This window comes from Homo sapiens, chromosome 4, assembly GCF_000001405.40.
Source record: "Homo sapiens chromosome 4, GRCh38.p14 Primary Assembly".
NCBI classification, from domain to species: domain Eukaryota; kingdom Metazoa; phylum Chordata; class Mammalia; order Primates; family Hominidae; genus Homo; species Homo sapiens.
The window spans coordinates 48515868-48541815 of NC_000004.12; the positions used below are offsets into that span (position 1 = coordinate 48515868).

The 25948-nt window shown below is 36.2% G+C and overlaps 1 protein-coding gene across 20 annotated transcripts in view; it reads right to left on the bottom strand.

Moving 5' to 3' along the window:
• The window catches only part of FRYL (FRY like transcription coactivator), a 282923-nt gene that overhangs the window by 18511 nt on the left and 238464 nt on the right, over positions 1–25948 (bottom strand). For 19 of the 20 annotated variants that reach the window (XM_024453991.2, XM_024453993.2, XM_011513683.4 and 16 more), the window contains 10 exons: positions 24486–25093; positions 24104–24201; positions 19790–19960; positions 18678–18818; positions 15289–15486; positions 12308–12469; positions 12104–12178; positions 11610–11786; positions 7034–7237; positions 5181–5348 (listed from right to left, as the gene is read on the bottom strand). In XM_024453991.2, coding sequence (XP_024309759.1) covers positions 5181–5348; positions 7034–7237; positions 11610–11786; positions 12104–12178; positions 12308–12469; positions 15289–15486; positions 18678–18818; positions 19790–19960; positions 24104–24201; positions 24486–25093 — 2002 coding nt within the window. Of the gene's footprint in view, positions 1–4656; positions 5349–7033; positions 7238–11609; positions 11787–12103; positions 12179–12307; positions 12470–15288; positions 15487–18677; positions 18819–19789; positions 19961–24103; positions 24202–24485; positions 25094–25948 lie in introns of all 20 variants that reach the window. The other variant, XR_007096393.1, reaches the window with a different exon arrangement.

A 25948-nucleotide genomic window follows, 5' to 3' on the forward strand; every position in this document is an offset into this window, starting at 1 on the left:
CACAAGTAAAACTTTGTATTATTAGTATAAATCGTCTCCTGTTTGAAATGTCATTGCTTTCATTACAGTGGAACACAGTATATTCCGGATATAAGTAGGAGAGATGACTCAAAATAATTAACCCACTCGTCCTGTGGGGCTGCCACACAGCAGGAGTAGGTACTGACCAATCAGAAGGATGCTGAACCTAGACAACTAGGGTGGCCTTACTACAAAATCTCATTTTGGCTTTGAGTATTGATAAAGCTTCATCACTTAGCTACAGTTCAGAAGACATTAGGACACTTTAGATAATTATACTTTTGAAAATTAAACTATCACAAGCTCATTATCAAAAAAGACTATATTCTCCTCATTTGAAGTAAACAATAATGAAAATACATGTTATAAAGCATACTAGTGGTGTGCCCTTTCTATCCACCGTAATGTTACTGAAACAATGTTGCTATGTGATAGACAAGTGGTAGAGGCTCAAGAGATATTGGTTGAATGAGCTGCTACTATCAAAAAAGGAAAACACTTTCAAAGCATATATGATGATGGTATCAACACTAGTTTTTAGTTTATTGGTTTAATCAATTTGAAAATAAGTACTAATGGTCATAGTTCTAGGAATAAAGATCAGCTTCTTTTGAGTATTTGGACCTAAGTTACTTCTCAGCTGTAGAGTAGCTCCTTATCTGTTTTTCATGGATAAAAATAGAATTTTCCTTCCAAAATAAGAAAAGTAAGAGAAAGTCAGAGCCTATAACCCTAGACTAGCCCAGGCCTTATTCATATGTAAAACTCATCTATAAAATGAAGGATTTTGACTAGATTCTGGGCTGAGTGCTCTGGTATAAATAATTCCTAACTGCAAATAGTTTATAATCTAGTCTAACAGGGTTAGGCTAGTAAGTGAATGACAATAACATATACCAGAGTATGGTAAATGTACGGTAAATACTATCAGCAACATACAAATGGGTGCTGGTAACTCAATGATGGGAAAGCTCTCAATCTAGTTGAGGCAACTGAGGTGAGTCTCCTTGGAGGAAACAGCATGTTTTGACAAACATGAGGTAGGGATGATATTGCAGGGAAAGTGATTAGAAGATATCAAAGGCACAGAAATAACGCCATGAAAACACAAAGTGTGTAAGAGAACACTGCTCTGGATTTAGTTAAGCAGGGAAAGCAGCAAACTCTGAGTCTTTACTTCAGCATTAAATATAATATAGTAGGATTATTTCTTAATTCTTCCACCAGTTTATATTCAATATACTCTAAGGTTTCCAGATGAATTTTCTAAAAAAATATTTGGTCATTATTTGGAAAGATAATCTATGTGACAGTACTAGAGACATTTCTACACCTAGAATATTTATTGGCATGAATTTTTCCTTCTACATCAACATGAACATACTATGTTATCTCAACCCAAACTTAGTTCAATGCCCTCACTTTTCATTAGTTCACACCTGCAGTGGATTGTCATTTTTTCTTGAATAATAATTTCAAGATGATATTTTATCTGTAGTTAGTATTATATAACATACAATGAAATTTTCTAGTAATGCCTACATATCACGAAGAAAGTGCTTTTGGGGCTGTTAGAATGGATTCCATTGTTTATATGTAGATTATGAGAATCAAATTTTCTTGTACTTCACCTTATTAGACAATGACACATGCACATATGCTTTGTTACAAAGATTTCTTTCCTATAAGGAATAATTTGTCATCCATGAGGTGGATTCCAAGCTATCATAAATAATAAAAGAAACCCTCTGTGAGTAAATACAAGTGAAGAACTTAATCCCCTCTTGAGATCAGAGTGTAACGTGTGTATATTACAGAGAAGAAAGGGACACTCAGCTCTAAAGTTTGTCATGACAGAAGATGCTTTAGCCTACTCCATTTTATCTTTCCAATATTAACATGATTTAAGGGAAGAAATTCAAATAAACATTTTTAGGAGTGGATTTATTCCTTTAATTCACAAAACATTTCACCCATCAAAATTAATTATATTCTTTGTCTTAAGAAGTTGCCTTAAAAATAATTATGGTTTTATTTCAATATCTTGGTGCTTTTCTACTTTTTCTTTTGGTACAAGAGGCAATTTTGGGTCATTTGACACTATTTGGCAAAACAGAGAAAAACAAATTAGGCCAATATATCCAACAGATATAAGGCTGTCATGTTCCCTGTGGATAGCCATTCTTTTGGTGACAGTTTTAATATCAGTAGAACTGTTTCTAAATGAAATACCATGCTTTCAAAATATCCCTTTCATTCTCATCCACTGGTGTTACGGTGTATGGTGTGATCTATGGTGTGATCCAAACTAGGCACTGTAGTTTGGCTTAATAACTAATAAACCTCCCAACAACTGAAAGGAATATAGTCTACTTAAAATCCATCTCTAAATTCCATCAGTTCTCTCCTGTAAACATTTCTCATGTTTGTGCCCTTAGTCAGGCCCTGCTAAATTCTTGCTAATATTCTTCCAGCTTAGCTCGTTCATCTCCTCCAATCTACCCTCAAAGCCTCTGCCTTAGAGACTTCACTACCAACAATGAGGCTGCAAACCTTCTGTGATTATCCCTAACTGCAAGCTCTATGTGTCAGGGACTAGAACCTACTTTCCATTTTCGACAAAAAAGGCCAAAGTTTTAAAAAATAATCAGATCATGTTCTTCTTCAATGGTTACCTGCTGTGTGGCCTGTGACACATGTCATGACAGTGCCTTGGCCCACCCCTCTCCTTCTTGTTCACTGTGTTCCAGCCTTACTGGCCAGTTTTCTGTACTTCAGATATATCAGGGCCTTTTAAACTGCTGCTTCTTCTGCCTGGAACCTTCTCCCTCCAAATCTTCAAGGGGTGGGCTGGTTCTTGTCATTTAGGTTTCACCTTAAATGCTACCCCTAACTTTCTCCTTCACTCGAGTCCACATTACTGTTAGATTTTCTTAGTATGATGAATAAGATGAGACATATTATTTACATTTTGTTTTACCTGCTTATTATCTGTCTCTCCTACTAGAATGAAGCTCCATAAAACCAAAAGCCTTTGTCTGTGTCACAGTTGCCACGGGCCCCGTGCCTAGCCTAGTGCCTAGCACGAGGTAGCGCCTCAGTAGATACTGGTCACATAAATGAATGCTCACATGCCATGTGGTTCCATCTTGGCATCTGGTACAGTGCTTGTTACTTAATAGGTATCTCTTGAAAGGATAAAAATTTGAATGTCTTTCTGTTATCTCAAGACAAAGTCTTAAATCTTCAGTGTGGCATATAGGACTTCTCCTGTCTATTATCTCAAGATAAAGTCTAAGTCTGTAGTGTGGCATATAGGACTTCTCCTGTCTTGGATCCCATTCATTGCTCCTATTGCTCTTCCTCTCCCTCCTCCCATTTTACTCTCTGGAAATACTCAATTTCCTGCTTTTAGCTAGACACATCATGCTATTTCACACTGCCATCCCTTTCTACATTGTGTCCCTCTGCCTGGAATGTCCCAGTTACCATGAAACCTGTCCTTTCTTACCATCACTCCCAGTGCACAGCTGATCACTTTCCTCTCAGTTTTCATAAAGCCTTGAACCTATTATTGAATTTTCCACACTGAAATGTAATTTCTTTTTTTTTTTTTTTTAATTTTTTATTTTTGAGATGGAGTCTCACTCTGTTGCCAGGTTGGACTGCAGTGGCGCGATCTCGGCTCCCTGTAACCTCCGCCTCCCACATTCAGGTGATTCTCCTGCCTCAGCCTCCCGAGTAGATGGGACTACAGGTGCATGCCACCAGGCCCAGCTAATTTTTGTATTTTTAGTAGAGACGGGGTTTCACCATGTTCGCCAGGATGGTCTCAATCTCTCTCTCGCTCTTTTTTTTTTCTTTGGGACAGAGTCTCGCACTGTTGCCAGGCTAGAGTGCAATGGTGACATCTCAGCTCACTGCAACCTCCGCCTCCCGGGTTCAAGTGATTCTCCTGCCTCAGCCTTCCGAGTAGCTGGGACTACACGTGTGCACCACCACACCCAGCTAATTTTTGTATTTTTAGTAGAGACGGAGTTTCACCATGTTGGCCAGATGGTCTCGATCTCCTGACCTCATGATCTGCCCACCTCGGCCTCCCAAAGTGCTGGGATTACAGGCGTAAGCCACAGTGCCCGGCCTGAAATGAAATTTTTTTAAAAGCCTTCTCTGTCTTAATAGACAGCAAGAGAACGTTCTCTGAAAACAGGGCCATCCATGTCCTATTCTTCTTTCTGGCACCTAGCTGAATGCCTGGCATCTACCGAAAGCACAATAAATATTTGTTGAATTGAATGATCTAAACCTTAGCCATATGAGTATGAGCATTTTAAAGATGGCTTGCTAATAAGGAAGCCAAAGTGCCTTCATTTCAAAATATGTCTGGTTACTGTTAAAGTTCAAATATGTACAAGAGTCAGCCTAACAAGAACACAATAGTGTTTTATCACCTTACAAAAATAATAAGATCTGATACCTAGATTAGATCTAATAACTACATTAATTTGATGAACAGTGACAAAATGTAGCATTTCCTAATATTTACCAAGGAATAAAAAAAGCACATATGGCAGAGCTATAGCAATTACATTTTTAAAAAGTATAATAATCTTTAAAAAAAACACTAATACTTACTTATTTTTGGTCAGTCATTAGCTTCAAATCTGGCTTACTTCTCACAGGCCTTTCCAAAAAACATAATACTAGTGGTTCCAAAGTCTTTTTAAAAGATTTCATTTAACAACTGCTAAAAACCACAGCTGGCCTGAGGTTTTAATCCCAATCACAGCACCAATCACATAAACCCAACACAAAGCAAAAAGAGAAGAAAAAACCAAAGCGGTCCTTCTAAGAAAATACAGTGCAATAGATGATGCTCGCCAACCCCAGAGAAGCGTCTGTACATTAACCTCATCATGTTCTGCAATGCAAACTGCTCATTAAAAACACTCAAGATTATTTTTAACCTGTAGGTCATTTCCTTAATCTACCAACTTAAGAAAAAATCAGATTTGACTATTTCATTTAAAATAACTCAACAGGTTAGAAATACTGGAAACAAATCAACTTCAAAACTTTTTTGAAAGAAAAGCGGGAGCTATAAAAGAGTGCTAAAAAGAGCCCAGATTGGCCATGCACCAGCCTCCATTTCTCCCCACCTCAGGCAGCCGGCTGTTAGCATTATCTAGAGAAGCCTCCAAAGTTGGGGTCTCATCCCTGATTTGAAGCACTTCCTCTGTTGTGATGCTGCCAGTGGAATCTTCAGACTGGAGAAGTAAGTCAGGATGGTCTGGTATTGTTTCATCAGTGGCAGAATCACTGTTTAACTAAAAAGAGAAAGAGTAAAATAAGGAATTCATTTATGAGTCAAAAGCCACAGGAAACATTCTCTATCATAAAATATTTTAGGGGCTTCGTTATAAAGAGCTTCTGAGATTTCCTAAAATCATCTTTCTTTCCTTCCAGTCTACACCAGAATGGGTGTTGTTAGGGTAAGCAGCTAATCCCTCGGTAGAACTAAGTACACATTAATACAGGCTAAATTTTGCTAAACAAAAACTATCAAAGTGGAAGAGCTCTATGTAACTATGTTAACCTTGAGCTGAAATTCATATTGGAGCTGAATTCATATTCATTCATGGAGGACGAAGATTTATGTGGCACGGTTAAGTGAATGGGCACTAGAGACAGACTGCTTGATTCACATCTACTTACTAGCTATGTGTCCTGGGATAAGACATGTAATATGCAGATCTGCAATAACCATACTTGCCTTGTGTTAGGAGGAGAGTTATGGTAACTAATACACGTAAAACACCTTGAACAGGGCCGGGTGCATCGTAGACAGTCAGTAAGTGGTAACGTATTATGGCTGCCATTAGCAGCAGCGGTTGGTCATTGAACACTTAAATGGGAGAGGGGCAGTTAGTGGAAAGACAAACTGGGGCACCAATGAGATGTAAATACAGGAGAGATGACTGGACACCAACCACAAACCGACAACTTGACATTGTGCCTAAAGCAGCTCAGGCCCTTCCATTCAACATCACTGCCAGCACTTTACCAGCAGGCCGAGTGGAGCAAATGGATCTAAATTAAAGGTAGGTGGCTGGGTGCGGTGGCTCATGCCTGTGATCCTGCCACTTTGGGAGGCCGAGGTGGGAGGATCACTTGAGGCCAGGAGTTCAAGACTAACCTGGGCCACATAGCAAGACCCCATCTCTACAAAAAATTTAAAAAAATTAGCTGTGCATATGTGGCATGCACCTGTAGTCCTAGCTGCTTGAGAAGCTGAGGCAAGAGGATCACTTGAGACCTGGAGTTTAAGAATACAGTGAGCTATGGTTGTGCCACTGCACTCCAGCCTGGGTGATGGTGTGAGACCCTGTGCCTAAAGAATAAAAAAAGGAGGCATTCCTGTAAGAGCTGTGTAACCATAGCTGGTGCCTGGTCTCCACTGGTTTCTTCCTTATCACATGTACCAGGGTAGCTATTCCATGTGCCTTCTCCTTCTTTACAGTGCCATCTTCAAGTTCCAGCCCTACCACTGGCTTTTCTTGCACCCGTACTCTTCTGAAATAACAGGCTACTCTTGCAGCTTTCATTTTCCACTGACTCTACTTGATCTCGAAAGGGACCAAACTTGTGCTCTGTTTTTCCACACTATGCTAACTAGGAAAGAAAAGTGAGTGGTGAATTAAATGGTGTTGGTGCTCACATTGATACCAAAAATATGTTATCACTGAAGGCCTCTAATAGGGCCCAAAACAACTCACTGTGACTAGGAAAGAAGCAAGAGAAATTATATTTTAGCAGCTAATAGGTGTGCAGTATCAACCTAATAAGTTTAGTGCTGTCATGAATAACAACACGGTACTCCATTAGTGTTGCAATCTTGTAGATTCATTTCAGTGTGTGCATTTCACCCATGCACAAGAAATAATCATTAAGAAGTTGGAAGTTAAGAGGAAAATGAGACCAAATGTCACTGTAAGAAAAGTGAATTGTATACCATCTGTGTGCGTGAGAGTATCTGGCTTGCTGTAAGTGCCGCTTCTTCTTCCGAGGACTCATCTGTATCCTCCTGATTGGTGAGGTTCAGGCTGGGGGTGCTACTAGAGCACTGGTACTCCTGGAGGGATGGAGTGTCCCCTTTGTCAATACTGTCCAGTGAGCGCCTGCGAACTCCCCAGTTGAAATTGTCCATACTTTCACCCTGGAAAAGCAAGACACGATTTCTAAAACCTCAAATACATGCTTCTAAATGTACTAAATGTAATATACCAGAAAAACATATACCAAGATGAAAAATACTTAATGCATCATTAAAAGCAGAGTTTCAATCAGCCCTTCAATTTCTTTAAACTGTTAACACACCATCAAATATTTATATTTAAAAAGATCAAAATTATTTGGTTGACAACCTGTTTTAACGAAATAATTTTCTTGACTTTCTATCTTGTATTACTGGGGACCAAGTAAATCTACTATCTAAGCCATTTCTATTCTAATACACAAACATGAATGAGACCACAAAGAAGACAAATACATCACAGATGACAACAAATAAACAATCCATAACACCAGGCTGCAACTTACCTGCAGCTCCTGGTTAGCAAAAAGGAAAACACACAGAATTAGAAAAAAACGAAGACAAACATTTAAATATACACTACACTTTTGGGGCAAACTCTTTGTGATTTCTCAAACCCAAAGACTGATTCAAGCTCTGGATTAAGCTTTGTGCAGAAAGTCAACATGTGATTCAAATCTTTTTTTATGCAAAATATGTTGTGAAAAAGTCAGAGACAGACACTTAAAACAACATTTCTATGATACACTTTGGCAACACAAACTTTAAGAAAATCTTCAAGATTTACAAAGGTTTAATACTTAGTACAATGCAAAAACTGACTTTAAATACCCACATGCACTTGACAACATACAAGGTCACAATTATTTCAGTTGGTAGGATAGCTCTGGCTAAATTCAATGGTCATTTTTTGCTACAAAATATAATTTAAAATCAAGATCACAGCCATCAAAACATAACTGTTGCCAATTTTAAAAGGTCAAGAGGAAATATGACAAATTTCAATTTCTCCCACTTAAGGATTTATATAAGTTATGTTTCTGTTATTCTAAGCTGCTCCTCCTTTTGTAAGGATATAATCCCTACAATTTTTCTTAGGCCCTGATATGACAAACTATATTGAGCTGGCTACCAAAATATGATTTTTTTTTTCTGTATCCCTTTACACAGGAATTGTCCAGATTAGAAGTTTTCAAATCTTTTTTTTTTTTTTGAAAGCAGAAGAATACTTATTTCAAATGAAATTTTAGATGGCAGTCAATTGTGCAAAACAGAAAACCAGAGCTGCTCTGGTTGAAGGTGTCCAGGAACTTGGCCCATTGGATCTTTGAATCTGTCCCGGCTGTTTCTGAAGATATCTTGGAAGCCCTAGGGCCCTGCATGTCAGAGTTTGAAAACCACCTTCCTGGAACATATCATTTCAAATATTATTATGTACCAAAACACATAATGGCAACAGCACTCAATATATATTTGGTGAGTGAATGAATATGCACTGTGGGCTTTCAAAGTGAGGAGATATTTTATTATAATTTTCATTAGTGGTTAAGTTTGTTTTGTAGCAATCAAAGTATTTCCTATTACCATGTTTTAAACAAGACTATATCCAGGTTTTAGAAAATGTGTATCGCTGATTTGGCGTAATTATGAGGGATAAATTAGCGTGCTCCACCCCACCCCTGATTACTGTGACTTGAATTAAAGACAGAACTACAAATGAACATCCTTAGTCCATTCTAAGGTTCTATTAAAAGCCATGTTTATTACCACTGACATTTTAGAGCACTGAATGAACTTGAAAGCATTTACAGTTCTCTTTAAACAAGAGGCAAACAAAAAGAAAAATAACCTTACCATTACAAAAATGTCAAGAGCTGCCTTTAGAAATTTAAATTCTGGACTGAAAAAAGCAACTAACTACAGAAGAGTTTAGAAGCTGCTCCTGGCCTTGGGTAGGGCAGCAGGTCTCTTTAACCTATTCCACTCCGTTACTTGGTTGTGCAAGTCTGTTCTATTTCCTACAATATATTTTTTCAAATGATGAGTGTGAAACTAATTTTAGGGTGGTAACCTACACTTTTTGAAAAAAAAAAAAAAAGAATGAAAAGGAAGAGAATAGAAAATATCAGTATGCACAGCATAGAGTTTGGATGCATATTCTTGCAACTTTTATTTTTAAAGGTATATATATATATATATATATATATATATATATACACACACTTGGATGTGATGTAAAATGTATTAACTGTGGATTAGTGTCAAAAAAAAGTTTAAAAGCTACTGCTCTGAAAGGTGCTAAATAATACCTGTTCTTGAGTTCCTATGAACCTGTACAATTGTGTCTTTGGGAAAATGTAAATGGTGGAGTATTCCATAGGAGCCTACACAGCTCCTAAACTGACATGAAGGCATTTGCATTACTTGGAGGCACCATGGTCACATCCTCACATCTGCAGGGGGCACTGAGGCATGTTGAGGAGAGGGAACTTTACTTCCTCAAACTGGTCTTCCATGGACAATGAACAGTGTGATACGGGAGAGTGCATTACATTTCATTCCTCCGCCTCACCTATTAGAGCCAAAGGAAACACCCCTACAAGAAGAGCTGATGAATGTGTATAAGCTGTATATGAGTTGTATATGTATATGTACATGAGAGTTGATCAGTGTGTATGATCTGTATGAGTTGTATATGTATATGTATACGAGAGCTGATGAATGTGTATGAGCTGTATATGAGTTGTATATGTATATGTACATGAGAGTTGATGGATGTGTATGATCTGTATGAGTTGTATATGTATACGAGAGCTGATGAATGTGTATGAGCTGTATATGAGTAGTATATGTACATGAGAGTTGATGAATGTGTATGAGCTGTATATGAGTAGTATATGTATATATGTACATGAGTTGATGAATGTGTATGAGCTGTATATGAGTAGTATATGTATATGTACATGAGAGTTGATGAATGTGTATGAGCTGTATATGAGTTGTATATGTGTATGTATATGAGAGCTGATGAATGTGTATGAGCTGTATATTAGTAGTACATGTATATGTACATGAGAGTTGATGAATGTGTATGAGCTGTATATGAGTTGTATATGTGTATGTATATGAGCTGATGAATGTGTATGAGCTGTATATGAATAGTATATGTATATGTATATGAGAGCTAAATGTATTTGAGCTATGAGTTTTGATTCTTTAGAAAAAGATACATCAAGATATGGTATACAGATACTTGGTATTAAGGCATTTTGGTCTTCTTGCATACAGATATTTGTAGCAATTTCAAAATGTACATGTTTAAAACAAATCTATTTGATATAAACTTTCAGGGTTAAGAGACTGTGGTTTAGGGAACTGAGCTCAGCTACAGAAATGGATCTCTAATAGCCTAAGACAACCAGGGTAATCCTATTCTATTCACTAGAGTGGTTGTTTCAGAAAGTAGCATGTGTCCTAATTTGGGCCAATGAGATGTTACAAGAAGTTTGCTAAGACCATTTAGGAAAGCAGCTTCCTTACTTTTCTGAGAGCATTTCTGGATGTGACCCTCACCTCCTTCAAACACTGCTGTGTGTGGGGCTAAGATTACCCAGCAATGAAGACGGTTTTGCTGCTATCTGAGGTCAAGCTGACTGGCAGAGAAGGGGAGAGCCTAGAGAACTGCAGATAAACAGCCAGAAACTTCATTGAGCCATATCTAAATATAAGCTCTAATTCTGGACTAGTTTTGTGGGCTAATAAATCTACTTTCTGAGTTTTAAATTCCATTTAGAAAGCATCTCAACTGACATAACTACCAATATAATGTAATCCAGACTAAATCAATTTAGAAGAGAAACGCTTTGAGTATTAAATGAAACCAGGCATTTGAGAGAGTTACCTACATCATAAAGAAGAAAGTGATTTCGAATGTCAAAGAAAGAAGCTCAGTCATTTGCCAAAGGGAAGAGTTCTAGAAAGACAAACCCTTTGTGATATGTCAATTTAGTGGTAAGTGTGTATATGAGTAGTATATGTATATGTACATGAGAATTGATGAATGTGTATGAGCTGTATATGAGTAGTATATGTATATGTACATGAGAGTTGATGAATGTGCAATTTAGTGGTAAGTGCAACTCTCTTTAAAGTTGTCCTTAATCAATTCTCATATAAATTTTTACCATTTGGCTGCATATTAGTTTGTAAGACAAATCATGCAAAACATTTAAGTCTAAGCATACCCTGAAAATAATTTTGAAGGAAGCCATTTTTTAATTTTATATTTTTAAAGATAAAGATGAAAAATGGAATGTTTCTCTTTTATCTCAGACTTATTCTATTGACTAATTGTGGTAATCAAATTTAATTCCTAATTTAGATTTTTACCTTTTTGACCTTACACTGACCTCAATAAGGAATGATCCTGTGATCAAATCCTTAATTCTCATACAACTGTTCTATAAATATTAACAGAGAAAGCCCACATCCTTACCTCTGCATCTTCCAATTCAACATCTAAAAAGTCAAAATCCTTAAAAACACCAAACTGTTGTTCACTGCTATTATCTTCCACAGCTACTTCTTCCTCTTGATTTATGTCTTCTGTTGTAGAAATTAGGCTAGTCTGTTGGTCACCGACTTCCAAATCCTCATTAGAAGAAAATACAACCTGATGCCCGATTAAAAAAAAAAAAAAAGTCCATCCATCAGATTTGTCACTCTGCGTATGAGGTATCAGTACCCCAAAGCCACCGCAGGCCTCATTCTTCAATGAATTCACAGCTTAAATTTGGTCTTCATGTTTAACTAGTTGAACACATAGTTAGCATGGCTGCCAGGTGTCACAAGAGATAAGAAATCTTTTTTTCATTCTGAGTTAATACCGTAAGTAAGGTAAATTAGAAAAGGCAAGCAAGGAGACAGATCATTTCTTCAAGGAATAACATGATCTTTAAGACCTTGACACAGGTCTTCATGATTACTCACTGATGGGTTCTTTGGGAGGCCAGATTCTGGACCACAGAGAGAAAGCACATTCATTAGCTTTTCTCTTGTTCTTCGCTAAAGGAAAAAAAAAAATTAAAATGTTAGGACTGCTGATAAAATAAGACAAATTCTCAAGTTTTCATACCTATAACAAAACTGATTCTTCTGTTCTATGAATGTTCCATTTTGATATTCTTTATGTACCTGTGATAACTGTGGCCTTTTCCAACTAACAGGAACCAAGGCATTAGAATTAGAACCAGAAGAAGTTGAGGAAGTACTTCTAGTGACAGCAATAACTTTTGGTTTCCCATTTCTTCCAGCCGCACTGTGCTGATCACCATATTTGTTTCCAATAATTGGTGTCTACACAGAAACAAAATGTCAGTGTTTGGCTCAAATATTTCAACATAAAAGAAACTTAAAAGGGTTAACAGTGCACCTATAATATTTTTTACAAATAAAAAAAAAGATGAGGAGAGAAATTACTTTGCATGAGGCAGATGTTAACAAAGATCAAAGGTAATGATATATATATATTTTTAATCAAGAGACTTTATTGGAAATAATAATTTTACATCTGAGATTATCAGAAAGCCTATTCCTACTTTAAATGTAATCTGCATTCTTTAAAAACCACCATCTCCACCTTTCCCCACCATGATTATAAAATATACCCAAAACTCAGAAAATGTAAAAAAGATTTATATTTTAAATATCAAATCATCTGTTTTCTTACCACTCAGACTTAATATTTGTTAAATTTTGGCGCTTTTTCAAAGCATATTGTCAAGTATGCTTCAGCAATGTGGTTTAGCAAATACTGAAGTAACAAAAGAGGAACACTTCTATGTAGATTCTTATTACAAATCTGATGTGTAATACTTCCAAAATTTATTTCAGTAAAAATTCTATGATAATCAAAAACTCATTTATATTTGACTTTGTAAAGTGTTTTAAATTTGCATTTGAAAATAAAATTCAAGCTCATCTGCATGTCATACGAGTCCCTTTATGCTCAACTGATCATCCTTCTCTCCCTAGCCTCAACTACGACCACTTCCCCCTCTCTGAACTTCACACACCAGCAAAACTGAGCTTGCTCTTGTTTTCCAAACACACCATGCTCTTTTATAGACCCGTGTTTTAGCCTATGTTGCCCCTTTGCATGGAATATCCACTAAGTAAACTTCTAATCATCTTTTAATGATGACTCCAGACTTTTAAGGAGGCCTTCTGTTCTACCACCACCACCTCTGTGTAATCAAACTTGGACACTTACCATGCTGACTGTAAACTGTTTATGTGCCTGACTTCCCTACTACACATGTATCCACTGGACCATGTGTGATTGCCTCTATACCTTTGGTGTATCTCCAGTGCCTATGCATGGCAGGTACTGAGGAATTTTTGATGCAACAAATTGAAATTAAGTATATAAAATGTTTTGAGAATTTGCATCACTGCTTCAAATAACGATCGATTTCTGAATCAGAAGGAAAAGGAAAGCCAAGCTTCTCCATCATACTCCCATGCTATTATACATACATCTTGCTAGAAATTCTCAGATATTATTAACTAAAAAATTAGTAACAAATATGCTTTCTACATAAAAAAATAAAGTTTAGGATAAATTCTAATGCCAAGACTAAACTGCAATAAAACATTTTTTATCTATATAATTCTAATCAACAAAAAAGTAAGTAGAGCTTCAATTTTTAATCTTTCTCAACCTTACAATACTTGATCAATAACTTCCTTCTTGAAAAGTTCCTCCCTTGGCTTCCGAAAGACCACTTCAATGGCACCAAGGCACCAAGAGTGGGCTCAGGTGCCAGAGGGAAAAAAAATCGGGACTCTCAGCAAGGATGAGAAATCTTTAAGTGAGATTTTTATTAATATACAGCATAGCCAGGCTCCAGGGTTCCTTCTGGACTGATGGCCCCTGCTTCTGTCTAGTCCTAAAATATCCAGTTTCTCAGGTTTCCTTTAGTTGTTGCCTTCTGTTCTTTTCAGTTTTCCTTCCATGGTTTCAGCCATTCACTTATACAACACTGAAACCCTTAATTTGTTACTTCCACCCAAGTTTTCCTCTAAAACTTCAGATCCCAAAATTTAACTGACCACCAGGCACCTCCTTTAGTATGTTTCTGGGTCACTTCTGAGTCAACATGTCCAAGACGGAACTCATTGCCCCCTCTCCTTCCCTGCTGTAAGATCTGTTCCTGCATTCCCACTCTCTTGAGTGGTGCAACATTGATCTACCTGTCAAGGCCATTCATCAAATCCTTGATGCCTCTTCCCCACTTTCCCATTAAATCCCATCAGTTACTTCCTTGGTCTTTTTGTAAACCATCTCTCTTCCTTCTTCATTACCTCTGCAATTGTCTTGGGACAGTCCCACATTATCTTTTGCCCAAATTCTTCTAACAGATTCCTTACCAACTGTCCTCTCCTCCTCCCTGCTCTATTTTCTATCCTGTGGCTAGAGTGATCCTCCTAAAATGCAAACCCTAATACGCCAACTAAAAATCCTTTAAGAGCTCCTACTGGTTTAGATAAAACCAGTTTGTTACTATGAAATGCAAGATCCCCATGATCTTGCCCCTTCCTATGCCTTCAGCCTCATGTCTCATCACACTCTACTTGCATTTTTTTGAACTCTGTGCCCAAGGTAGGCGGTACTAGTTGGAAGTGTCTGGAACACCATGCTTTCTCACGCTTACAAGCCTTCATTCACACATTCTCCATTTCTTTGCATTTAACCTCCCCTCCCCAAACTGCCATAGATGCCTGTCTAGAATTACTTGTCTTTCAACACTCAGCTCAGATGTTGGTTCCTTTCTGAAACCACTCCTTTAGATAGATGCTACATACTCCCCTAGCACTTTTAATGTATTCCAGCCGAGTGTTGATTACTATGTTTAGTTGTTAAGCTAAACACTGTTGGGAAGCTAAGTTGTGGCGTTTCTTTTAGATGGGGAATGTATAGTCTGTTTCTCTAACAGACAGTAAGCTTTCTAACAGCAGGCCTTCTCCCCATCCCCACTTGGTTGTTCATAACAGCTATCATATTGTCTAACACTGGGTATGAGCTCAATCAATGTTTGTTAAATCAAAGAATGAATAAATAAACAAATGAAAATTCCTAGTAGAGTAACTTCATCAATTTCTGAGCATCTTACCTCAGATATATCAAAATGAAAATCTAAGGTCTTCCCAGGCAACTCCTTAGAAACATTATTAAAAATTTTAGTGAAGGATATTTCAGGAGAACCTGTATCTCCTCCATAGGTCTTGGGGATATCACTGGGTACGACAAGACTCGCAGAGCGTGACACCACCAGCTTTAATATGTTAAGGGCTTCCTTCCAGTAAGGACTCTGGTTTAAAAAATAATTGACACGTAAAAGTTACAAATGCACATTCAACTAAGAACAACAATTTACTGTACACCATAAAAATATTATTTCTACAAAAATACTTGTAAAAATTATTCATTTTGAAGATCCTTAATGAAAGGTTTGAGTTACAAAAGGAAAGAAAACACAAGTTATTATTTGTACTGTTAGATTTATCAGATACCATATGTGTAATAATGCTACCCAACTGAAATATCTTGCTTTTCTCCCAATAAGTGCTTTGTAATTATCATTAATTTGGACAGACTAATACAGTAACTTGGCAGTAGTGGTAAACAAAACATTTGTATATACGTCAGCTTTTAGCTGAATGAAGTTTATAGCTTTGAGACTCTAAAATTTAAGTATTTTAAGTCTTTGCAGATAAAAATTTTTTAACGAATACCTTCCTTTTTAGACATAAAAATATTAAAATACTAAAATACAGTTAAGTCTTTTTTTCTTGATGGCCCAGGCCCCAAATACTGAGAGTAGATACCATGCTAATGTGATGTTCTCAGGGATTACTGAGTTGTGTAGGGTGAGGTTTTTTTTTCTTCCCTACATATTTTGGCTATTTTAAAAAAATTTTTCTGCTTGTCTTAGTTTTGTATATTCCTACCAATGAAATCTAGGAATTATTTATGAGCTAGATGTATATGTAGAGAACAGTGAATGTTTGATAAAGACTTTATAATATCTTTCTTTTACCACCCACTGAAAAGGATACATAGAAAAAACTACTTCTTACTTATGGTACCAAAAATCACATCTCAACCTTGTATTATATTATACATATTCTTTCACAGCTGATATCTGAGGAAGGAAAAATAACCATTAAGACACCAAAAAAGGAAGTAAAAAATCTTTGGCAGAATTGGGTTATCCAATTGAGTTCATAACATCTTGCTATGAAGACACCTAAAACACAAAATACTTGATAATAAAAAGGTCTACATGATACTGTGACATTTTAAGAACAGCACTGTAAAAAGTAGTTTAAAGGCCGGGAGCAATGGCTCACGCCTGTAATCCCAGTACTTTGGGGGGCCAATGCAGGCAGACCACTTGAGGTCAGGAGTTTGACACCGGCCTGGCCAATGTGGTGAAACCCCATCTCTACTAAAAATACAAAAATCAGCTAGGCATGGTGGTATGTGCCTCTAATTCTAGCTACTTGGGAGGCTGAGGCAGGACAATCCTTGAACCCAGGAGGCGGAGGTTGCAGTGAGCCAAGATCGCACCTCTGCACTTCAGCCTGGGCAACAGAGACTCCATCTCAAAAAAAACAAAACAAAACAAAAAAAAGTTTATATTTAACAAAATCATGACTAAGTAGAAATAATCATCATATTTTTTCTGACAGAAATAATTACAATCTCTGGGCATCATGAAATGCTAAACTTTAGGGATGTTTTCATAAATTATATTGCTGGTTGTGTTTAAATGTAAAAGACTATCGATAATTCAATTCTGTGAAATATTTAGTTGTTTAATAAAGCACAAGCCAGCAGCTGTGATGAGCCATCAGCTAAATATGATCTTGATTCACACATTTATAAAGAAATCTGGAAAAAAAATTGAGTCAACATTTTAAAATCAGGAGATTTTACAGAAAAATGTAGATTTCCAGCTTCTCTTAAAGTGAGAAGTCTGCCACACTGGACCCATATTCTAACATGAAAACCACCAGAGGAAGCTAAGTTGTGTTTCTCCTTTGAGATGGGGAGTGTGCAGTTCACTTAGCCACAAATCTATGCTCCTTCTGGTTATCTGCTTGTCCACTGGCAAGTTGAGCTTGTGGTTCTGAACATAAGAAATGTACCTATGGTTCAGAAGGTAGTGAATTCAATGTGGTATATGTTTCTATGTGAAATATAGCAAATATTTTATAAGTTTTTTTTTTTTAAGGCTTAAGAAGAAAAGAGAAATGTGCTTTAGAAAGAGATATAACTGCTATCTGGTAAAGCCTCACTCACTGAAGGATAAGACACAAGATAAATAGGGCCACCAGAAAATCTCCCGTTTTTTTGATATCTGCAATCACTGATTTTCAAGGGAATGTAAGAGGTAATGTGGATTACATAACTGAATCACTGAAAACATTTTACTACAGTTTTATTACTTTCAGATATGAACTAGAATAAATTCCTTGCCAGCTAAGTATTTCCCATTCTAAGTTCTGCTCTAGTGAATGCAAACGTAACTGGAGTATAAACACAACATATTAATCTATTAAGGTTGTTAATGAGCTTGTTCTCTTTGGTGAGTTGTATCCATCCTACTGATCTGCTCAGCAATGCAAAGCTTTCTTAACTGGTAGCTCAAACCGACAGCTTAACTGAATTTCAAAGGTGAAATTCAGCAAAGACCAGGCCGACTTGTCATCATTTACATTTAAATCAAGTTTAATTTTCCACTTTCTAAATATCTGGCACTTTTTATCAGACACACAAAAAAATCTCTAAAATGCAAACTCTTCAAAGAGGTTTTCTGTTTCTAAAAGTAGTGTATGCCCACTAAGTAGAATCTCGTTAAAAAACAGAAAGGTACGAAGAAAGAAAGAACAATGAGGCCAGGCACGGTGGCTCACGCCTGTAATCCCAGCACTTTGGGAGGCTGAGGTGGGCAGATTACCTGAGGTCAGGAGTTCGAGACCAGCCTGGCCAACATGGTGAAACCTATCTCTACTAAAAATACAAAAATTAGCTGGGTGTGGTGGTACATGCCTGTAATCCCAGCTACTTAGGAGGCTGAGGCAGGAGACTCACTTGAATCCAGGAGGCAGAGGCTGCAGTGAGCCGAGACTGCGCCACTGCACTCCAGCCTGGGCAACAGAGCAAGACTCCTTCTCAAAACAAAAACAAAAACAACCAATGAGTCACAGTCCTAATTTCCAGAGTTTTGACTGCTGCAATGTGTATATGCATTCCTTCCTGTCATTACAGAACATTACAGAAATTGTTAATACGAAAAGTAGAAATCATACTAATTCTGATTCTGGTTTTTGTCACTTACATTGAGAACATTTTCCATACTGCAAATATCCTGAAAACACGATTTATGGTTGAACCACTTCCCCATTCTTCGACATTTAAGGCATTTCCAATATTGTGTGATTATAAATCATTTTTAGATGAAAAATGTTATATGTAAGTTTTGTGGTCACTCACCTGTACATATTTGCCAATAATCTTTATGATCTCCAGATTAAACTGCTTGGCTGGGGCTGCAGACAGGTCAATATGACTCAATAGACTATAAATAATCTGTAGTAATGATTGCTGCATACTGGACAATCCTTTCTCTAACAGCTAAAAATAATGTTAAAAGTAATATTAAAGTATACTTTAATCAGGTTGAATAAAAACTCAATATTTACATTTGACAGGTTGGAAAACATAGATTTAGCCTATGAGTTTATAGTTATGTGGATTAGAAATCTAGAGACTAATAAAGTGAAAGGCAGAGTCTATTACTGTTATTTTTCCTTGGTTCAGAAAGGAGAATTAGACGATAACTTTTCATCTAAATCATGGTGTTTTATTTCCTTAACTAATTTAGTAGGTATTACTTTATTATAAACTGACAAACATTTTTAGTGACTAGGAATCTCTTGCTTTTGACTTTCTCTTTGTGCCTATCTACTTAGTAATTTACTTTTCTGGGTATAAAGTTACTTCTTAGGCATCAAATAGATATTAACTTTTTGTGCTGTTCTAGGGCTACTTTATCATCCATTTTTTGCTGTCTCAAAATCATATTTTAGATAGGAAGCAAATGTATCATCAAACTAAAAACTTTTCCAGAAGAAATACTTTTGTATGCTGTAATTATTATTCTAGAAAAGATTTCTAAGCTAAAACCTAATTTTGTAGAAATAAAAATTATAACCATTCTCTAGGATCAGGACCACTAAAAACCCATTTTCCATTTTTAATTAGGTAAAGTGTATATTATTTTGAGTTTCATGTCACTTAAGGACAGTAAATAAGGATATAAACACTGGACATGGAAAAAAAACCCACCTTTATAAAAACTTCTTTTACACTTGATAGGAAGTAACTTATATTTTTATCTTAAAAAATTGTTAACTATGTTGACTGTCAGACAATTTGAATATCAGTTAATACCAGTGCTGCTTCTGCATATAAATCAACTTGATAAGGTGCCACAGAGTAGTTAAAATATATATATGTGTATATATATACACATACACACACACACACACACACACACACACATATATATATAGTAAATAAGAAAATATTTTTGGTAAATTTACCTCTGCAAGATAAGTCACAAGATTAAATGTTGTATCTGAGAAGGAGTCATGCAGGTATCTGCACACGACATTGATCCAGTTAGAACAGTCTCTGGAATACGTGTGTGTACTGTACAAACTCATCATGTGTGCCAGATTGACAAGTGTTGGGCATTTTTCTTCTGCACAAACCTAGAAAACAAATAAAATTATTTCATTCACCTAAAATAAAGACACAAGTTTAACTTGATTTTATGCTAAATGTATTCGCTTAATGAAATAATTTAGATGTATATTGGTTTTAATGCATTTTACTTCAATACGTTAGAAAAGTGAAACGAGAAAAAAAGCACAAGGCATTCTTCACAGAATAGTAAGAGCTAATACAGAAAGAGGATTAATGTCTTTGTGGGTACTAAATAGTACGGCCTTCTTCAGTCTGAAGATCTGTAAACTGTCTCTGGCAGAAACCATGTATGGTGTGAACTCGGGACATCATTTTGGAATTGCTTTGTCAAACCCAGGATGGATCAGTGCACAAGTGACTACACAGGCAGATATAACTAGGGAATTCTCAGGGAGGCTCCGAGCTGCTGTGACTGGGAGGAAATGCTTCAGCCTCCAGCTGTGCCCGGGGTATCTCAGTAGAGCAGTCAGTTGCAAACAGCCTCAACATGTGTGACAGTCAAAGGACATCACTGGGGCTCTGATGAAATCTGGAGTCCAGAATCTCCAATGGATGACAGTCTGCATGGTGGACCTCAAACTGCTCTTCCGGAAATCACCTAAAGCTCTAAGATCCTCGGCCAATCTTTTAAAGGCTACTCCAAAATGTACTGACTCTCATGTTTGTTTGATACAATATTAAAGAATCTGAACCAACTAATGTTTGGGGGGAATTTTACTGACTGAATGCACTTCTTAGTCTGTTTGTTCCCTGGGTTATTGGTGAGGATGTTCCCTGGCCTCTCCCAGGGGACACCTGAGCTATGCAGAACTGGAAAAAGGCCATGCTACTCTTACATACCAATCTGTCATAAAAGGCTAACCTCATTGTCATTTCTGCTTTTAGTTTTCCTTTTCCTTATTCTTCTATCTTATGGATGTTTTGTATGTATTTTTACAACTACCTACAGCATTTGGTAAAGAAACTGTCCTTTTAAATATATACATCTTCAACTTTCAAATGAATATCACTAATTTTGGTAATTCGGAAGATGTTTAATAGGCTTGGAGGGCCTCAAATTCATCATTTGGACATTATCATGGAACAAGCACAAAATATAAAGGTTATGCAAGGTCGTGCATAGACTATTAACACAGTAGTACCTGGGAAGTTATTTTATACAATCATTAAAACCAGCTGATTTCATGCAGTAGTGTTTTGCCCATAAAACAGACACCAGAAAGAAAAAGAAAAAATGGGTTGGTATCTCTTATTTGCATTTCAAAATATAATAATTTAACATATTATTAAAAATCGCATAATTTTATAACTTCTCAAGTTGTTAAATTCTTTAAAACATAAAAAACTTTCCTGAAGAATAAAACATTCTTAGAGAATTCTTACATTCTTAAATAATTTTTTTAAGGAATGATTTTAAAAAACTTATTTTTTGAAAAGGGAGAAAATTCCTTGGAATATCTGCTGTGCAATTTTATAATAGAACAAGTGACAGATTTAATTTTGGAATTTTTGAAATGCCAGGTTAAAATACGATCCAAAAAGAGTGTGTTTTATAACAAACTTTTTTAGCATACTATTTTTGCCATAACGAATCACTAAAGAGAAAAATATTTGTCCTAAGTGTTGCCTCATTTTGAAATTCTGTGCTCTCCAAAGGCACAAACAGTAGAACTAGGGATATTTGCATAATGAAGGAGCACATAATGGCAGAAAATTACTCTCTACAGTTATAAGTGGGAGAATAATTAAGGAACCAATTTAATTCACATCCTGCAGGTTGCTAAAAGCATACGGAGAGGGAACCTTTGTGTGCTGTCCAACAGGAAGAAAACAGACTTAAAAACAATTTATGAATCACAGAAGGCCATATCTGATTTCTTAAAAACATAAAAGATATTTGGGAATTTCCATGGCCCTACTGTGGTCACGATATCAGCAGCTCGATATTCAAGGAGCTGTAACATCCTTCAGGCTAGGAGGCCACACTCCTTAGTTATCCCAGCATTTAGCAGGCAGTAATCATTCAACACATTTCAGCTGCCACTCTTAAATACTTCTACTTCCCTTTTTAGGGGATTTATGCCTTTTATTTTCTTGAAACCCCCAAGTAAACCAATATACACTTTCCCCCTTATATTTGCTTTCCAACCCCTCAGGTAGGGAAAAAAACTTTGTTTACACAAATTTTCTAATCATGTGTCACTAAAATATTAAAATGAAAGTTATTTTAATAAATTTTGTATTACGATTAGACTTTATTAATGCAAATACAGGCAGTTGGTTTTAGGCGAGTAATCATTTTCAAAAGGCAATATTTCTAATAGTCATAATTTTCACCCTCTCTTGATATTTAATGTTCTATTGGATTAGTTTAATAAAAACCAAGAATAAAAGACTTATTTTTGGCTTACTTCCTACCACCACCATTTTTATTAAAGAAACGAAGATGTTTCCATTAGCTAAAATAATGGCTCTTTTAAAATACATGCTTTTAGAATAATTATATTAAGAATCTTTCCCTATCTAATTTATTTAGAAATTTAATTGGGGATGGTGTTAAGAGCATATTTTATTAAATATTTTCACATCATTTATTAAATGTTATTTATCAAGACAGTGAAAAGGTTCTTACTCTTATTAATGCTAATGGGATTCATTGGGTTGCCAGTATTTTCTTTCTTTACTATGCTGGCACCTGGAGATAAATGTGTACTTAGCAGTGCTGCAATCTGGGCCATGGAAAGGTGGGGGTTTTATTTGGCTTCCTGCATGCTTGCTCTTTCCCCTTGCTGTGCTACTTGTTAATCAAATCCCAGCTTTTAAAAAAAATTGCTTACATAAAAAGCTTTTTCTGGGGATTTTATTTGCTTGTTCTCTTCTGTAGAAAAAAACTTCCTTTTTTTTTTTCTCCTGGTGCTTTAGCCAAGTTCTTTTACTTATCTTGCTATTCACTCACCTCCCCCAGTTCACCAAATTTCCTATTACATGTATGCTACTTGTAAATTTATATAACTCCCTCTTAGAACTGTTTATATTTTCAGTCTGAAAAGCCTTTTTTCCTCCAGACTCAATGACTGACTGAAAAAAGTTATGAATTATATTTAAGCAAAAGGCAGGCTGTTTGACAGTTCCTTATTGTTCTTGAGAGGGGACTATTAAAAATATAAAATGTCAAAATCACATTCTTTTAACATGAAGGTTAAGAGCTATAACACTTTTAAACAAATGTTAACAGATGATTTATAAAAATATATAAAATGTCAAAATCACATTCTTCTAACATTGAGCCATAATACTTTTAAACAAATGTTAACAGATGATTTACAAACAGCTACACCACTGTTTCTAAAACAGTATGATTTTTGAAGGTAAAAGAGCCAAATAAGGAATAAAAAAAGAATGGAGTAGAGAGAGAAGATGAAGAGAAAGACTGTTAAGAGGAAAAAAGGCAAACAAAAAGGGACAGAGAATTTTCCAAATCCTAAAATATATTATGCCCTCTTCTTCCTCAGAACCTCTGCATCTGTAATTTCTTCTGCCTAGAAAACTTCAAACCCTGAACTCCACTCTTTGCCTCTCATCCAGGGACCTTACTTTGGTTTATTCCTATCCATTCTTCGATAGTGATCTAAGTCAGCTTAGATATCACTTCCTCTAGGAAGACTTCTGTTTTGTGTGCTCCTTGAGTATTCTGCCCCCCACCCTCCCCCTGCCCCGATAAAATACCAAATCAGACTCTCTGATTACTGTCTATTTACTTCACTGCATTCCCCATGATAAAGTACACTATCTACTTTGCTTATCATGTATTTGTAGCATCTAACCCAGTGCTCAGTAAATATTTGGTAGTAAATAAACGAATGAATGAGAAACAGACAGAGAGGCAGAAGTATGGAAAAAGAGCAGAAAAAGACTCAGACTCAGAGGAGTGTTACTCTAACTAAATAATTTTATTTACTGTCATTTGAGCAGTTGTAACTTACGCCATTACTATGCAAGTCCTTTATGTGCATAAAAATAAAAATTTAAATGCAAAATTCATATGGGAAGTGACAATAAAAGGAGTTTTAAGAGATTTCCCCCTCCTTTAACATAGACTACAAAATAATTTCCCTATAGTGTTACCTTTCAGCATAACATTTGCTTACCTTTGCTATTCGACTAGCTGTTTCTTTGCAAAACTGAGTTGGGCTGTCAAAATGCTGGATTAAGTGAGGCAATAAGCAAAGGATGTTAAGAGGAAAGCCTATCAAAACAAAAAAAAGCAAACAATAACCAATTTTATTGCACATTATTTTAAAAGTTAAAGTTATTTTTTTAGATGGTTCACAGAAACCATTTTCTTTTCATTTCCTGGGATATTCGATCTTCTAATTCTTTTTTGGCTTTTACCAAATAATTTAAGCTACCTAGCGTATAAAAACTATGACTATTTGCAAAAAGCAGAAATTAGTAGATTTCAAAACAAATGATTAGTTTACATTTTACTGCATAAAATGCAAAGTGCTGGTGCAATTATATTAACATCACCTGACAATTGGGAAGGATCCACCAATGTATGTTTGGAGACAGAAATGAGTTTACTGAGGAGGTGCACGGTCATTTCTTGTGTAGATGCTGAGGTAAAACCCTTAAGGAAGAGCTGCTGAAGTCCTGGAAAATTAGTCCATTTCAATTTGCTTTGTACATTTTCAATCTTCTCTCGACTCTCTGATTTATCCAAAGGCAAATGGATAAGCAGTTTGTTGAGAAGCCTGAGAGCCAGGAGGTATTCATATTCATAATCTGATTCTAATAAAGATGCTGCTATCCAAAAAATGGTGGCCATCAAGTTGGTAGGCTCAGTAGTGGACTGCACGTCATACATTCCTTTCTCTCTTAGAGAGGAAAGGCTTCTAGTCCTTGCTAAACTACTGCTATGGTTTATCCGTCCATCCATTATATCCAGTGTGTTACTCCGCCGCCGGTCACCTCGTCGGTCACCAATCAAACTTAATCTCAAAGAGTTACTTCTTGCATTACTGTTATATCCCAAATAACTGCTACTATTAATGGGACTTGTGCTTAGATTGAGTTGTCCAGTGCTTTTCCTGTTAGCTGCATACTTGTTTCCCATTATAGGATCATGATATGAGGTTCTTAAAAAAAAGAAAGAATAGATGAATGCATACCCAGTCACTTCTTTTGCTAAATTAATTTTACTTCTGAAAACACTGAAAAATAGTAACTGGTACCAGAAAAATCATTTTTCAGTATATCTGACTTTGTTGAATCAAATTTCAGTTTTCCCTTCAAATTCAAAGAAAATGTACAACAGTATCTTTTCTCTTGTGGCTAACAGTTTCCTTTGAGTTGAAAGGAGGCTCTACTTGCTGAGAAAATTCTGCTATAGTAATCGCTAACAACGTTCAGCTCTGAGATTTAGGCATACATTATGTCCAAAGCTGACTTCATTTGTCTTGTCCTCAAACTTGATGGTCCTGATGTCCCTATTTCTGTCAATGACACACTCTTTTCAAAAGAACTAAGCTCAAAAATTTTCGATTTCTCCTCCTTCCTCACATCCAATTTTTATTAAGAAAATATTGACTGAATGCTTTTTATGTTTGCCAGCTGTATAGAAAAGGAAGGAATATTAGACAAGTCTTTTGAAAGAGGGGATAGATATGTAAATGGATAAATTTATAGCCTGCTAATTGCTATTATTACAATATGAAAAAATCACTATGAGAACCCAAAGGATGGAATAATTAGCACTACCCTGAAGGAGTTAGAAATGCTTAGCTAGGAAGTGACATTTGGGATGGGACTTGAAGGACTAGTCAATTCTGGGCTTGCAAGGTAGAAAAAGTGGGGAGAGAGGCTGCTGCAGGGAGAAGGAACAATATGTGAAAGGTGGGAGAGCCTTAAGGCTCCCAGACAGCTGGGGGAGAAACAGGATGCTGAATCCTGAATGTGGCAGGAATGAAGTGGTGCATTAGAAAGATCTCTAA